This window comes from Homo sapiens, chromosome X (assembly GCF_000001405.40).
Source record: "Homo sapiens chromosome X, GRCh38.p14 Primary Assembly".
Taxonomy (NCBI): Eukaryota; Metazoa; Chordata; class Mammalia; order Primates; family Hominidae; genus Homo; species Homo sapiens.
The window spans coordinates 85,232,472-85,250,040 of record NC_000023.11 but is presented as its reverse complement, the minus strand read 5'-3'; the positions used below and the strand labels follow the sequence as shown (position 1 = coordinate 85,250,040).

At 36.7% G+C, this 17,569-nt stretch overlaps 2 protein-coding genes across 28 annotated transcripts in view; one reads left to right on the top strand and one right to left on the bottom strand.

Annotated features, from left to right (window-relative positions):
• ZNF711 (zinc finger protein 711) overlaps positions 1-6,050 on the bottom strand; it is a 29,367-nt gene extending 23,317 nt beyond the window's left edge. For 4 of the 26 annotated variants that reach the window (XM_011531019.2, XM_011531025.2, NM_001375433.1 and 1 more), the window contains exons 1-3: positions 5,850-6,050; positions 4,019-4,138; positions 2,390-3,111 (exon numbers count right to left, since the gene is read on the bottom strand). In XM_011531019.2, coding sequence (XP_011529321.1) covers positions 2,390-2,468 — 79 coding nt within the window. In that variant the 5' untranslated portion in view covers positions 2,469-3,111; positions 4,019-4,138; positions 5,850-6,050. Of the gene's footprint in view, positions 1-2,389; positions 4,139-5,153; positions 5,272-5,849 lie in introns of those variants that run through there. The other 22 variants (XM_011531021.2, NM_001330574.2, NM_001375436.1 and 19 more) reach the window with 11 other exon arrangements.
• Positions 6,262-17,569, top strand: part of SATL1 (spermidine/spermine N1-acetyl transferase like 1) — a 151,496-nt gene continuing 140,188 nt past the window's right edge. For both annotated transcript variants that reach the window (NM_001367857.2, NM_001367858.2), the window contains exon 1: positions 6,262-6,453. The gene's annotated coding sequence lies outside the window, so the exon portion shown is untranslated. The remainder of the gene's footprint in view (positions 6,454-17,569) is intronic.

Below are 17,569 nucleotides of genomic sequence, written 5' to 3'. Positions count from 1 at the left end.
AAACGAATGAAGTATGTACTGATACATGCTATAACATGGATGACACTTAAAAACATGCTAAGTGAAAGAAGCCAGACACAACGACCATATATGATTCCACTTATATAAAATGTTCAGAATAATTAAATCCACAGACAAAGATTAGTGGCTGCCTAGGGCTGGTGGGGAGAGGCAGAATGGGGAATGACTGCTAATGGGTATGAGGTGTCTTTTTTTAGGATATGAAAATGTTCTAAAACTAGGTACTAGTGATGGTTATACAATTTTGTGAATATGCTAAAAACCATTGAATTGTATACTTTATAAAAATGGATGAATGGAATGGTATGTGAATGTATCTGAATAAAAAGTAAAGAAGAAAAAACATATATGTTAAATATTTCAATATGCATATTCTATTCCCCTAACAACTAAAAGAAAAAAAGTAGTAGATGTAATAAAGGAGTAATTAATTCTAAAGACATTGAGGATAAACAATGGAAAGGAAGGTTAAAAGGAACATTATGTAAATATTCACCAGCACCAATCAGATTTTTTTTTCATCTTTTGAAAGGAATCACACTTTACTAGCTAATAGCCAACCTCTTCAGGAATGAAGTGAGTTTTGGCACTTTATCAAATGCTATAGGAGAGGTAATATTTTGTATTAAATGGAGAAACTACTATAATACTTCCATTTTAAAAATATCTTATTTTAAAAGGTAAAAAATTAAAGTTGACATTTCAACCAAAATTTATTTACCATACTGAAATTCCAGTGTTCCATTATTCTAAAAACTATCAACTCTCTACTAAAGAATTCATGGGAATATCTTTAATCTCTTACTCTTTGGCCCTATTATCCTTCCTCTAGAATTTATTGATGAGTTTTTTTCACCCAAAGTCATTTCTAAATCATCCATAGTCAACACAATTCACTTAGCTTTCAGAAGAATACATCCACGATTTCTTTATATTTCATCAATTAACTCACATCCAATATTGTACTACTCAACTTTATTCATCAGAAAGAAACGTCAAAGAATTCTATAACTGGAGAGGACCTTAAATGTTATCTAGTGCAATCATTATAAAAGGGAATTCAGTAATTTATCCAAGTTTACACAGCTAGTTAACAGCACTGCCATGACTAGAATACGGCTTTACTGACTTCCGTTACTGTGGGATTTACTACAGGGGACCAAATGATACATTCAACCATATTATCAACGAACAATAGTAGCATTTTCTTAACTTAGCAAAGTATCACAGTTCTATTCCCTCATCACTAATTTCAGCTTCAACAATTCCATATTACCTCGTTCCCTGTTCTTTTATCGCAGTTCACCATTTGTCTTTTCTGCTTTCACTCCAATCTTATCTTCAATTCTTTTGATCTCATCCCTGCCTTTTATACTTCAAATAGCTCTATCTCCTCTGTAATTCAGATCATCCCTGGCCAAATTCAGTTTATTTGTTGAATGTCAATGGAGTCTTGGCATCCTCATCAAAATGACTACTGTCAAGAGGCTACTTACAAACCTGGCCACAAGAGTAAGGAGTCTTTTTTTTTTTTTTTTTTTTTTTTTGAGACTGAGTCTCATTCTGTCACCAGGCTGGAGTGCAGTGGCACCATCTCAGCTCAGCTCGTTGCAACCTCCGCCTCATGGGCTCAAGCAATTCTCCTGCCTCAGCCTCCTGAGTAGCTGGGACTACAGGCGTGCTCCACCACGCTCAGCTAATCTTTTGTACTTTTAGTAGAGACGGGGTTTCACCATGCTGGCCAGAATGATTTCAATCTCTTGACCTCGTGATCCGCCCGCCTTTGCCTCCCAAAGTGCTGGGATTACAGGCATGAGCCACGAAGCCCGGCCTCTTTTTTTTTTTTAAAAAAAAAAAAGAGAAAGAAAAATGTATTCTAATGGTAACAACTTTCTGAGGAAATAGCATCACAATAATAATCACCTAGTGCATGATTCTGCATATCACTATATAAGCATCTTTTTTTTAGTTGATGTAAGCACTTCTTTTTCCAATTTTATTAACAATGCAACTTAAAATGTGTTTTAGAAAGTCAGTTTAACATTTCCTACACGTGAGAGCTGATATATACTATCAGAACAGAATGTGATATAATTATGCAGTTATTTATGTAAATTGAGTTTTTCATTTCCAGTAACATATTACCACCATATTTCAAGTGTCCCTAACACAACCTTCCCCTAAATTGTAAAAGTGATGTTAAGTAGACCACTGACACACAGCTTTATGAGAATAAGCTCTACAAATATATTTTCCTAGTAAAAGAACAAGTTTTCATTGTAATTCTCCCCTTCCTCAACTTATTTTTGATTTTTATTATCCCCTTACTTCTAAAAAAGAAAAAAATACAACAAAGAAAATGCTTTACCAAAATCTTGCATAATCATGGTATGGGCCATTCTAGAGTCTGGCGTGTGCAATCCAAGACTTCCACCGCCTGAATCCATACTTAGCAAAGTTCATTCACCAATATCTGCAAAAGAAATGGCTTTTAAAATAGTTTAATATATTTAGTCCAAAGTTAGTTGTTTTGAGAAAAAAATGCAATTGACAATATGCCTTTCAACCAAGTGTGGAAAGCTTATTACAAAAGAAAGCAAAACAAAGAAAAACCATGGTTAGATGCTTTATGTGACAACCATAAATAAAAGAAGTGCCAAGTGGAAGTAAACCAAAAATAATGGAGACAAAGGCACAGTCAAGCTGATGAGCCATAGGGAAGTGGTAGAAGAAAGCAAAACAACAAAACTGCAGTGCTAAAAGTTCCAGTTAAAACATAGGTTATAAAAGAAGAACGAGATGACAACAAACAATAGTTAGGATATTTATACATTACTAGAGGACTCAGATGTCTAGTATTAGTGAATTTCATCCACTGGCTCTCATCCATTTCTTCCAGACCCAGATCAGCCCTGCAGCGGAGCTCTGCAGATAAACTTGTATTCACCTCTGGCTCCCAGGGTTCTACTTATAATGTAAAATGTTCTATCCCAGTTTCCCCGGAGTTCTTTGAACCAGTAAGGACTTCTGGCCTCACTCTACTACATTCTCTTGTCTCAGTTTTGAGGACTCATGAAACATGACTGCTTCCTAAATATGGTAAAAATAAGATCGATCACATACAAACATTTAGCAAATTATTTATCTCAGCATTTCATTTACTTGTAATTGTACAACTGACTTTTTATTAGTGATTAATAAAATTATGCTAGCTTCAAGGTGGTTTTGAAAGCAAGGGCTCAATCTATTTCATTTCAAATGACTTATCCTATATTTACGACCATTTGATAGTATGGAACATAAAGTCAGATGCTGTCACTCAATGTATTTCTTAGACACATATATGTGCATTTTCTCTTCAAACATAAGATTCTAAGTAAATCAACAAAAACCTGTCAATTTTATAAGGCACTTATCTCCTTTTCACGTAGGACTGCTTAATAAATTGTACCATATTGCACAACAGATAAAGCTGCAACCTTAATGAAAGTTTCAGAAAGGTGACACGTAATACAACTTAATATATTCTTAAATAAAGGAGGATGGCTAAATTGGTATTCAGGAGGCAGGAGAGTCTCAGAGGAACCCCTATCACCATTTCAGGTATATACATAAATATGCTACAGAAGTAGGTGACATTTCTGTATAACAAACGATTCAGACAGAATTACTTTATGTATGAGCAAACTTCACAATTTTAGAAATTCTTAGTTGTGTATCTTTTTTCAAATGCCATTGTTTTCTGCTTTGCTATTATGCAAAATGAGGTCCAAGGCCAAGAGAGTTCACAATAAACTACCTGTGTGTTAACAAAATAAATCTGAAAGGGACATGTTCTTAACATTTAAAACAGTGTACTATTTGGATTTTAATTAGAGTAATTACTTTCTTTACCACATAACTAATAGAACAACTACAAATGTCTGAAAATGTTTTTAAAAACTTAATTTTATTTAACTGTTAAATAAGATAAAACAATAAGTAATTTGTTAGTCACCTTTATATGAGTGTCTCGAAGAAATTGTAGATTTTCTCACATAAAGTAAAATCTGCAGCAATTTCTTTTTATTTTTCCTTCTGTGCTATGTTATTTTCTTTGGGAAAACGCTCTCTTTACCTATTATAAAAATACATTCAAAATCAGATACTTTAAAATATTTTAAACTAAGTTTCTTACACAACTTAATATTTTTCTTTACACCTGAACTTGCATAGTGAGGCTGGGAAGGGTTCATATGCTCAAATCTGTAGTAATGTTAAAAGCAACCCAACGGATTCCAACAAAAACAACTACTCACTACATTAGCAACGTTATTATACTTAGAATGCTACCACTTGATTAAACCAAAATCTTCTCTAAAGCACATCTTAAAAATCACAAACAACACCTTATTTTAGAAAGTGAAAGAGAATCAAGGGCAAGCTTTATCCTTGCCAAATCCATACTGAAAAGTCTGCACTAGCACTCAATGAAGTGTAAAAATTACAACACATAGTGCAACTATTATAAAAGTATTACACTGTGTGAATACCAAATAAATAAACCGGAGTATCTTTCCCCACATAGGAAGTTTCAATAAAATCAATAATAAATGAGGTATGAAAACAGCAGTGTGTTAAGTATTTAATAACCATTAGAGATAGCTAGGCTTCTTGGTCTTCTCTAAGTGTATCTCACATCCTTATTGAATGGAGATAACCCACCAAGTACGTCTCAAGTAAACATCTTTCCATTAATGCATGGGGAGTAGAAATCACAAAAAGAAAATCTGTCTCTTCTAACATAGCTCATTCAGGACCTAGCTTCTTAGTGATGTCAATAGGGTGACGGATAGATGAGAAATGGTAAGGCGGCAGAACAAGAGAATGCGAAAGTAGTATTTGCAGAGATGGGAGACAAAGGAGCCCTGGCAAGTAGCAGTATTGCAGCTTTGGACGCAGCCCTCTTCCCGCATAAGTCTCCTTTTCCCACGACCATGCCAAGTTTCAATCATTTCGAGCAGAATGCACACACGTGCCCTCTGAGGTATTACCCATCTGACTAGATCTTAAACCTAACAAGAGAACCTTCGCAGCAGAAAGGAAGAGACCGATGAGACAAGAATACCCTTTCCCCTCCTCCCTCCTCTCACTTGGTGCAGCGGTCGCCACCGCTGCTACCCACGCCGTGCTGCCCAGCCCCTCAGCCTCCTCCAGCTTCCTCTGCCCCGCTACGTGGGAGACGGTTGGGAACCAAAATGGTGGTGTTTTAGTGTAGGCGACAGTTGTCGCACACGCCCCCCCCCTCCCCCCAACTCCCAGGCTCTGACGGCTCCCAATCCCCTAAAATGCCGATTCGGTGCCACTTCCTCGCACACGCCGCCATCCCTCGCGCATTCCAAAGGTTACTATTAGCTCGGTCAGGGGGCGGGGGCGAGGCGACTGGGGCGCCAGTGAAAAGAATATGGGGTGGAGGGAGAGCTGAGAGAAACTGCCAGGGGGACGCTGCATTCTTCACTTCACCGTTTTGTTTTCCGCCATTTTACCGTCACCCTAAACCACCGACGGTCTCAACGACGGCTCTAGCTCCCTGGGGCTCTGGCCTAGGGAAAGAGGAGGTTGGCTAAGGGGGAAAACCCTTACTTCCCTCAATTCCTCCAGCCCCCGGCTGCGGCTGAAGAGGAAAACTCCGCCCGAGGCGGGAGGAAAGCTCAGGGACTGGACGCCACTTCCATTGTTCCCTTCGCCCTACGCTACACGCTGGGTGTGAGCCTCTCCTCCCCTCAGACAAGAAACACTGAACGCGGTGGATCCACGTCCCTCTAGTTTCTCGTCAGGAGTCTCCTTACCTGCTGCTGCAGCTACAGCTGCCGCCGCCGCTGCCGCCGCCGCTGCCGCCGCCGCCGCCGCCGCCGCCTCCGTGCCGCCAGTCGGACTGTGACCGCGCTCTGGATGGCTGCGGGGGGCGGCAGCTGTGGATCCCTTAAGGTCCTCACATTCGGGTTTCCGAGGTTCCGCAGCCCGAGCCAATCACAATCTACTCTGCGTCTGGGAGGCGCGCCGCCTCATTCTCCTTTATATTGCTGCTGACATGCTGAGGTTGCATTACGTCACGCTACCCTTGCTGCAGGGTAGGGGGCCAAAGGGGGGTCTCGCGCACGCGCGCGCGCGGGAGATCGAGGCGCCCGCGCTAGGTTAGTGCGAGACCCCGCCGGCTTGAGGCGGGGGCTGAGCGCCGGCCAAGTCCAAGTGCGCAAGCCCAGATCTCGGCGCGCCCCTGAGGAGTTTCTGTGGGAAGATTTTCTGTTTTCCAGGTTTCCCAAGGGAAACGAAGAAAGGGAGGAGGATAATCAATGACTGAACCTCTAATAGATGTTGGACGACGTTAAAAAAAAAATGTATCGGCCCTACCCTCGAGGATTTGACAAATTAGACTGACCAGAGTAATAAGAGGTATGCCTCACCCCAATAAAACCTGTGTGTGTTGCAGTTTCCCTTCCTCCCTCCCTTCATTTCTTTTCTATTTTGTAATGGTAGACAATTCGATGAAGAAAGTGAAGGAGAGTGAAGAAAGGTATAGAAAGGAAAAGGTGAACAAGGGACCTCAATGAAGTGGACACTAAATATCTCATGAATGTGTCACTTTCAGCTTCTGTCTGCAAAAAGTGGGAGGACAGTGAGAAATTCATTGGGTGAGGGATGGGGAAAAGAGTGATGAGATGTGATGAAAGGTAGGTGGGGACTAGATTGCGTAAGCAAAGAGTCTTATGTTTTGCCTATTTTAGCTTTAATTCTATAAGCATTTGGAATCAATAACAGTGTTTAAGCAGGGAAAGGATAGGATCCTAAAGAAAGTAACTCTTTATCTTTGCAAATCATTTGAATATTTACAAATAAAGCATGTTATTATTCTAGATTCTAGATACATTCTTCAGGTCTCTATAACCTAATATACCACTAAAGTTTTTGATAGAATTATAGAAGATGTGAAAGTCCTAGCACAGTACCTGGCTCATAGTAGACCAGGAGTCGGCAAACTTTCCCTATGAAGGGCCGGATAGTAAATATTTTATTTTTGTAAATAAATAGTAGTAAGCAAAATATTTTTTGAGGGCTATAGCGTCTCTGTCACAACTACTCTGCTCTGCCATTGTAGCCCCAAAGTGGCCATAGACACGTTCAGCAGAATGAGGAGATATAATTTCCAAGCTTGAAAAGGGTGAAATTCAGTTATTACTAAAACGTGAAGTATGATAAATAGATAGATAAGAGATTGGTAAATTACCTTCCATTGTGAGGTTCAAAGTTTCTCTGCAAGAAATGCAATTTCTGCAAAGCCCGTACACAGTGGGCACAGAGAAGGAGCATGCTCGTGTGCGCGCATGTGATGTGTGTGTGTATGTGCATGTGTAATGATGGTAAAATATTTGTTTTCCTTACTTTTGAGTTCCAGGGAGAGATAAGTGAGCATGGCTGTGTTCCAGTAGAACTTTATTTATGAACGCTGACATTTGAATTTTATTTCATCTTAATGCGCAGTGAAAAATTATTCTTCTTTGAATTTTTTCAACAATTAAAAATGTAAAAATCACTCTTAGTCATAGGCCATAGAATAACAGGCAGCAGTCCAGATTTGGCTTGTGGGCCATAGTTTGCCCACCTCTGTAGGTTTCATTTACTTAAGCTTTTATTTTCCATTCTAGAAGAAGAAAGATATTTTTATGAGTGTGTCCTCATACATGACATTTTTCTATGTTGGATAGTCTGGCAAATACTACTTATGGTCTTGTCCCATGGCAATTCCAACAGGACACTCAAAGAAGAAAGCTGAGAAAGATGTGGGGTTTTTACATCAATCACCTTTGTGAATGGTACACTGTGGGAGATAATTTTTAAAACCTGAAGGCCATCCTGCTCTTCCCTCTTTCTCCAAACATCTAGTCAATGAAAATATCCTGAGAATTCTTCCTCTTTAATATCCGTGGAATTAATCCCCCTTTTACCTAACATCATTACCTTGTTCAGGTTCACATGCCTTCTTAACTGGATTATTGCAACCCCTTGCTAACTAGTTCCTCTGTGTCCATTTACTCACCAAATTCCCAAATCAAAAATGACAAAATCAGAAAAATATATCAAATCGATTCTCCCCATTCCATTTTCACTTCAGTTGAGGCCCTCACCAATGGGACAGTAGTAATAGTCTCCTGACTTATTTCTCTGCTCCACTTGATATCTTTTACAGTGTAGAGTCTACATCATCACTGAATTCACTTGCATAACAAAACAAACAAAACTGATTATCTTACTCCCCTGCTTAAACATTGCTATCAGTTTCCACTAGAAGTCTAGGATAACACCCAGACAAGTACAAAAAGAGAGTTTTGGTAATCCTGGCTAGGGAACAATGGGGAGACCATTCAACATATGTCCTTTAGATATTTGGCCAATACTTATTTAAAGGAAGAAACTGACTAATAAATGGGAAAAAAAACTGTTAGAGCTGGCTGTTTATGCTATTTTGGAAAATAGTATTGTATTTATAATTATATAGGCATCATAAGCCCAAAGCATTCATTTTTTTCTATTTTATTTTAAAATTTCAACTTTTGTTTTACATTCAGGAGATACATGTGGAGGCTTGTTAACTGGGTATATTGAGTGATGCTGAAGTTTGGTGTATGAATGATCCCATCACTCAGGTAGTGAACATAGTACCCAACAGGTAGTTTTTTAGCACTTGCCCGCCCTCCTTCTCTCTCCTCTCCAGTAGTCCTCAGTGTCTGTATCCATCTTTATGTCCATGTGTACCCAAATAAAGCATTCATATATATATGGCTCTACTGTTGTTCATATTTAAGTAACATTATAATAAAACTACCATAATTTAAATGAACATTGGGAGTACAATTTTTCCTTTAAAATAGTCTAATAAAAAATACAAAATGACACTCAAAAAGTCCGTAAATACTATCCCACGTAAAAGGTACCAGGACTCCTTGGGGGGAATAGCTAATTCCAAGTTTGAGATAAAAAAAAACAAATAAGATGAGATTGTGACATATTGTGTCAGAGAGCAGGGGTACCATCAAAGTCTAATGTCAAAAGTACACAGGAGGCCAGGTGCGGTGGCTCACGCCTGTAATCCCAGCACTTTGGGAGGCCGAGGCGGGCGGATCACGAGGTCAGGAGATCGAGACCATCCTGGCTAACACGGTGAAACCCCGTCTCTATTAAAAATACAAAAAAAAAAAAAAGTACATAGGAGCTTCAAACAATAATAGTAACTTTGAATGATGAAAACACATTGACTATATAAAAATTCATGAGTTGATTAATGATACCGATAGAGAGGGATCCCCCTACTCCCAAAGAATGAAACCTCATTGAATACCATTTAAGGTAAATAGAACATTGACTCCTTATTCTGACAATTAGCAGTCAAAAGAAAAAAAAAATCAGTATCTTATTCTGCTTTTTTTGTACAAACTTTCAGAACAACAAGAAAGCCCTAGTTTGATAAGAGAAAGTTCTTTTTGCAAGAAATACAGTTAGTAAATGTAGGAAAAAATCCAGAAGTAAATGTAGAAAATCACTATTTTACAACCTCCAATGATGTAACAGATCCAGGCAAGGATCATCAGTGGGTGAAATATGAGATGAAAAAGTTTATTAAGGAGTTCAGGCCGTCGTCACCTGAACCCTGTAATAATTTTATCATTGACAACATTTGGTATTGTCATTATTCTTTATTTCAGCTGATCAGATAGTTGTATAGTGATATCTCATTGTCTGACAGCTAATAATTTGTCTAATAGCTAATAATTAACACCTGTTTGTGTCCTTATTTGCCGTAACTTCTCTGATGAAGCGTCCATTTAAGTTCTTTGCCCATCTTTTAATGTGGTTGTTTCCTTACTATTGAGTTTTCAGAGTTTAAAAAAAATACATTTTCTGGATACTAGTCCTTTATCAGATACGTGATTTGAAAATATTTTCTGTACATCATTACTGGGTCTTTTCATTCACTTTACAGTGCCTTGGGCAGAAAAAATGTTTTCAAATTTGATGAAGTCAAATTTGTCATTTTTTTTTTCTTGCATGTGTTGTGCTTTGGTGTCAGTTTTAAGGTTTTTTTTCCCCTAAAAGTTTAACATTTTAGTTTTTGCATTTACATATATTAATTATTTTGAGTTGGTCTTTATATAAGGTGTGAAATTCAGGTTAAGGTTCATTTTCAAAGGTTCCAGCAATATTTGTTCAAAAGACAACCTTTTCTCCACTGAATTGCCTGTGTATCTTTGTAAAAATATCAAATGGCCATATTCATGTAGGTGCATATCTGTCCTATTGTTTAGGTTCCATTGACTTGTGGACTTGTGTATCTATCCCTTTACAAACACTGCTCTGACTTGATTACTTTAGCTTTATAGTAACTTCTAAAATTAAGTAGTGTGATTCCTCTTTGTTTTTGTCAAAATGTAATGAGCTATTCTAGTTCTTGTGTCTTTACATGTAAATTTGAATATTAGCATGTCTATATACAAATTTCTGCTGGGATTTTGGTTGATATTGTGTTAATCTATAGATCTCTTTGAGGGAGAATTGACATCATTACTATAATGATTCTTCTATTCATGAACACAGTATGTCCATTTGTTTAGGTCTTCTTGGATATGTTTCATCAGTGTTTTGTCATTTTCAGTATATACATTCTGTGCATGCTTTGTTAGGTTTGTACCAAACATTTTCAGTTTTAGGAGCTATTGTAAATGGCATTTTTAAAATTGCAGTTTCAAATTTTTCTCTGTATTTAGTTATAAGCAGTTTGAATATAATATGTCTGGGCTTGGACTTTTTTGTGTTTATCCTCTTTAGGGTTCACTCAGCTTATTTTATTTTATTTTATTTCATTTTATTTTATTTTATTAATCGTGGTAAGAACACTTAACATGAGATCAACCCTTTCAACAAATATTTAGTTGTACAATGCAGTATTGTTAACTAAAGGCACAATATTGTACAGCATATTTGTAGATATTAATCATCTTGAGTACTGAAACTTTATACAAATTAAAAACAACTGCACATTTCCCAGTCCCCCAGCCCCTAAGAATCACCACTTTACTCTTTCATTCTATGAGTTTGACAATTTTATTGTATTTTTTTGTATTTAATATTTATGGGTACATAGTAGATGTATATATTTGTGGGATACAGGAGATAGTTTAATACAGGCATACAATGTGTAATAAACACATCTCAGGGAAAATGGAGTATCTCTCATCTCAAGCATTTATCATTTCTTTGTGTGACACTCCAATTATATTCTTTTAGTTATTTCTAAATGTGCAATAAGTTATTGTTGACTGTAGTCACACTGCTGTGCTACCAGACACCAGCTCTTTTTCATTCTATTGAACTGTATTTTTTGTACCCATTCACTATCCCCATTTCCCCCAACCTCCCACTACCTGTCCCAGACTCTAGTAACCATCATTCTGGTCTCTATTTTCATGAGTTCAATTGTTTTAATTTTTAGCTCCAACAAATAAGTGAGAGCATGGAAAGTTTGTTTCTGTGCCTGGCTTATTTCACTTAACATAATGACCTCCAGTTCCATCCATGTTGTTGCAAATGACAGGATGCCATTCTTTTCTATGGCTGAGTAGTACTCCATTGTGTATATGTACCACATTTTCTTTATCTATTCATTTGTTGATGGACACTTAGGTTGCTTCCAAATCTTGGCTATTGTGAGCAGTACTGCAGCAAACATGGGAATGCAGATACCTCTTCAATATACTGAATTCCTTTCTTTGGGGTATATATATAGCAGTGAGATTGCTAGATTATATGGTAGCTCTACTTTTAGTTTTTTGAGGAACCTCCAAAGTGTTCTTTATAGTGGTTGTACTAATTTACATTCCCACCAACAGTGTACAAGAGTTCTGTTTCCTCCACATACTCACCAGCATTTGTTATTGCCTGTCTTTTGGATAAAATCCATTTTTTCTGGGGTGAGATAATACCTCACTATAGTTTTGATTTGCATTTCTCTGATTATCAATTATGTTGAGCATGTTTTTATACACCTGTTTGCAATTTGTATGCCTTCTATTGAGAAATGTCTACTCAGATATTTGACCCATTTTTAAATTGAATTACTAGATTTTTTCCTATTGTTTGAGCTCTGTATATATTCTGGTTATTAATCCCTTGTCAGATGGGTAGTTTGCAAATATATTCTCCCATTTTGTGAATTGTCTGTACACTTTGTTGATTATTTCCTTTGCTGTGCATAAGCTGTTTAACTTGATATGATCCTATTTGTCCATTTTTTCTTTGGTCCTGTGCTTCTGGGGTATTACTTAAGAAATCTTTGCCCAGATAAATGTACTGGAGAGTTTCCCCCAATGTTTTCTATTAGTAGTTTATTAGCTTGAAGTCTTATATTTGAGTAGTTAATCTATTTGGATTTGCTTTTTGTATATGGTGAGGAATAGGGATCTAGTTTCATTCTCTGCATATACAAATCCAGTTTTCCCAGCACCATTTATTGAAGAGACTGTCTTTACTCCAGTGTATGTTCTTGGCACCTTTGTTGAAAATGAATTCAGTGTAGGTGTGTGGATTTGTTTCTGGATATTCATTCAGAATTGGTTCTCTATTCTGTTCCATTAATTTATGTGTCTATTTTAATGCCAAGACCATGCTGCTTTGTTTACTGTAGCTCTGTAGTATAATTTGAAGTCAGGTAATGTGATTCCTCCAGTTTTGTTCTTTTTGCTTAAGATGGCTTTAGCTATTCTGCATCTTTTGTGGTTCTGTATAAATTTTAGGATTGCTGCTTGTAGCAATCCTAACAAGCATGGATTATCTTTTCATTGTTTTGTCCTATTCAATCTATTTCATCAGTGTTTTATAGTTTTAATTATAGAGACCTTTAATTTAGTTCATTAATTCCTAGGTACTTAATTTTATGTGTGGATATTTTAAACGGGATTTTAAAAAATTTCTTTTTCAGATTGTTCACTGTTGGCTTATAGAAATGCTACTGATTTCGTATCCCGTAATGTTACTGAATTTGTTTACCAGTTCTTATAGTTTTCCAAATATAAGATCATAGCATCTGCAAACAAGGATAATTTGACTTCTTCCTTTTAAATTCAGATGCCCTTTATTTATTTTGTCTGATTGGTCTAAGTAGGACTTCCAGTACTATGTTGAATGATACTCATGAAAGTGGGCATCCTTGTCATGTTCCATATCTTAAAGGAAAGGCTTTCAGTATTTCCCCATTCATTATGATACTAGCTGTGAGTCTGTCATGTGTGACTTTTACTGTGTTGTGGCACATTCCTTCTATTACCAGTTTTTTGAGGGTTTTTATCATGAAGGATTGTTGAACTTTATCAAATGCCTGTTCAGCATCAATTGAAATGATCATATGTTTTTTGTCCTACATTCTGTTAGTATGATGTATCACATCGATTGATTTTTATATGTTGAACCATAATTACATTCTGGGATAACCTCACTTGGTTCATGAAGAATAATATTTTTAATGTGTTGTTGAATTCAGTTTACTAGAATTTTGAGGATTTTTGCATCAATTTTCATTAGGAATATTAACTTATTAACTTGTACCCTTACTTTTTTGATATGTCTTTGGTTTTTGCATCATGGTAATACTGGTTTCATAGAATGAGTTCAGAAGTATTCATTCCCTCCTCTTCCTCTATTTTTCAGAATAGCTTGAATAGGATTGGTATTAATTCTTTAAATGTTTGGTAAAGTTCAGCAGTGAAGCCATAGGGTCCCAGGATTTTTGTTACTGGAGACTTTATTACAGCTTGAGTCTCGTTACTTGTTATTGGTTTGTTCAGCTTTTGAATTTCTTCATGGTTCAATCTTCGTAGGTTGTACATGTGTAGGAATTTATCAATTTCTTCTAGGTTTTCCAGTTTATTGGTATATGGTTGCCCATAGTAGTCTCTAATGATTATTTTAATTTCTGTGGAATTAGTAGTGATGTCTTCTTTTTCATCTCTATAATTTTATTTACTTGTGTCTTCTCTCTTTTTATCTTGATTAGTCTGGTTAAAAGTTGGTCTATTTTTAAAATCTGTTTTAAAAACCAACTTTTTATTTCATCAATCTTTTTATTGCATTTTTGTTTAAATTTCACTTATTTCTGCTCTGATCTTTATTATTATTTTTTCTACTATTTTCAGGTTTGGTTTGTTTTTGCTTTAGTAGTTCTTTAAGATGCATCATTAGGTTGTTTATTTAAAGTTTTTCTACTTTTTTGATGTAGGTGCTTATAGCTATACAATTTCCTTTTAGTACTGCTTTGGCTATATCTCACAGATTTTGGTATATCGTGTTTCCATTTTCATTTGTTTCAATAAATTTTTCAGTTTCCTTCTTCATTTCTTTGTTGCCCCACTGATCATTCAGAAGCATGTTGTTTCATTTCTGTGTGTTTGTATAGTTTCCAAAATTCTTTTTGTAATTAATTTCTAGTTTTATTCTATTGTGGTCAGAAAAGATACTTGATATAATTTTTTTTGAATTTCTTAAGACTTATATTGTCCTATCTTGGAGAATAATTCATGTGCTAAGGAGAAGAATGTGTCTTCTGTAGCTTTTGGATGAAGTGTTCTGTAAATATCTATTAGGTTCATTTGGTCTATAGTGCAGATTAAGTACAATGTTTCTTTGTTGATTTTTTGTACGGATGATCTGTCTCATGCTAAAATGGGAGGTCTCCATCTATTATTTTATTGGGGTGTATCTCTCTCTTAGCAATAATAATATTTGCTTTATGTATCTGGGTGCTGTAGTGTTGGTTGCACATATAATTGTTATAACCTCTTTCTGAATTGACACTTTTATCATTAAGAAACGTTCTTTGTTTCTTTTTATAGTTTTTGTCTTAAAATCTATTTTGTCTCAAATAAGTATACTTACTCTTGCTCTTTTTCGGTTTCTATTTGCATGGAACATATTTTTTCATCCCTTTATTTTCAGTCTATGTGTGTCTTTATGGGTGCAGTTTGATTCTTATAAGCAGCAGATTGTTGGGTCTTGTTATTGTTTTTTTTAAAACCATTCAGCCATTCTATGTCTTTTGATTAGAGAGTTAAGTCCATTTACATTCAGTGTCATTATTGATATGTAAGGATTTACTCCTGCCATTTTGTTTTTTGTTTTCTGGTTGTTTTGTGGTCTTCTCGTCCTTCTTTCCTCCCTTCCTGTATTCCTTGTAGTGGAAGTGATTGCCTGTGGTAGCATGATTTAGTTTCTTGCTTTTTATTTTTTGTAAATCTGTAGTTGTTTTTTGATTTGAGGTTAACATGAGGCTTACAAAGAATATCTTGTAATCCATTACTTTAAACTGAAGGCAGCCTAATACTAATTGCATAAACAAACTAATAAGCAAAAAAGAAAACTAATGAAAACTACACTTTAGCTTTGTGTCCCCATTTTAACTTTTTGTCATTTCTATTTATGTCCTAATGTACTGTCTTATGTGTTGAAAAGTTGTAGTTATTATTTTTGATCAATTTATCTTTTAGTCTTTCTATTTAAGATATGAGTAGTTTACACATTCATAATTACAGTGCTATGATATTCTGTGCTTTTCTGTGTATTTACCACTACCAGTGAATTTTGTACCTTCAGGTGATTTCTTATTACTCATTAACACTCTTTTCTTTCAGACTGATGAACTCCTTTTAGCATTTCTTGTAGGACAGACCTGGCATTGCTGAAATCCCTCAGCTTTTGTTGGTCTGGAAAGTCTTTATTTTTCTTTCATGTTCAAAGTATAATATTACTGGGTATGCTATTCCAGGGTAAAAGTTTTTTTTTTCCTTCAGCACTTTAAATATGTCATGCCACTCTCTCCTGGCCTGTAAAGTTTCCACTGAAAAGTCTTCTGACAGATGTATTGGAGTGTTTTTGCATGTTCATTTCTTTTATCTTGCTGTGTTTAGTATCCTTTCTTTATCTGTGACCTTTGGAAATTTGATTATTAGATATCTTAAGGTAGTCTCATTTAGGTTACATTTGCTTGGTGTTTTATAACCTCCTCGTACTTGAATATTGCCATCTTTCTCTAGGTTTGGGACATTCTCTGTTATTATCCCTTTGAACAAGCTGTCTATCCTGATCTCTATCTTTCTGCCTCCTCTTTAAGACCAATAATTCTTAGATTTGCCCTTATTGAGGCTATTTTCTAGGTCTTGTATGCATGTTTTATTCATTTTATTCTTTTTGTTTTTGTCTCTTCTCACCGTGTATTTTCAAATAATCTATCTCAAAGCTCAATAATTCTTTTCTCTGTTTGATCAATTATGCAGTTAAGAGACTGATGCATTCTTCTGTATGTCCATCACATTTTTGGATTCCAGAGCTTCTGCTTCGTTCTTTTTAATTATTTCAACCTCTTTGTTAAATTTATCTGATAGGATTCCAAATTCCTTCTTTGTGTTATCTTCAATTTCTTTGGGTTTCCTCAACACAGCTATTTTGAATTATCTGTCTGAAAGGTCACATACCTCTGTCACTCAGGAATTGGTCACTCGTGCCTTATTTAGTTTGTTTGGTGAGGTCATGTTTTCCTAGGTGGATGTTTGTGAATGTTCATTGGTGTGTGGTCACTGAAGAGTTAAGTATTTCTTGTAATCTTCAGAGTCTGGGCTTGTTTGGAGCCTTTCTTCTTGGAAGGCTTTCCGGGTATTTGAAGGGACTTCAGTGTTCTAAGTTTTTGTTCACTGCAGCCATATCTTCATTAGGAGACACCCCAAGACCACTAACACTGTGGTTCTACTGACTTGGTTGTCTTGGTTAAGATCTGGAAGAATTCTCTGGATTACCAGCAGAGACTCTTTTTCTCTTCCCTTACTTTCTCCCAAATAAATGGAATCTGTCTCTCTGTGCTGAGCTGCCTGGAGCTGAGGGAAGGCTGACACAAGCAACCCTGTGGCCACCACCACTGACACTGTGCTGGATCAAACCTAAAGCCAATAGGTTAAGGGGGTCTCACTTAAGGCCTGCGGTAACCACTACCTGATTACTGCCTATATTTACTCAAGGCCCTACGGCTCTACAATCTGGATGTTGTGAAGCCAGCCAGGTTTGTGTTTTTCCCTTCAGGATGGCAAGTTTCCCCTGTCCACAGGCAGGTCCAGAGATGTCATCCAGGAGCCAGGCCCTGGAGTTAGAAACCTTAGAAATGTACCTGGTGCTCTATTCTAGTGTGGCTGAGCTGGGACCCAAGCCACAAGTCAAAGTCATATACACTTTTCCCTTTTCTTTTCACAGGCAAAGGAGTTGCTTCCTGTGGCCACCAACATCCCAGAGCCATGGCGAGTACTGCCTAGACACCACCAATGTTCGCTCAAGGCCCAAGGGCTATTCAGCCTGTTGTGGTGAATGCTGCCAGGCCTGGGACTCTCCCTACAGGATAGTGGGCTTTTCTCTAGCCCAATATAAGTCTAGAAATGACATCCAAGAGCCAAGGCCTGGATTCAGGGATCCCAAGAGCTTACTTGGTGCT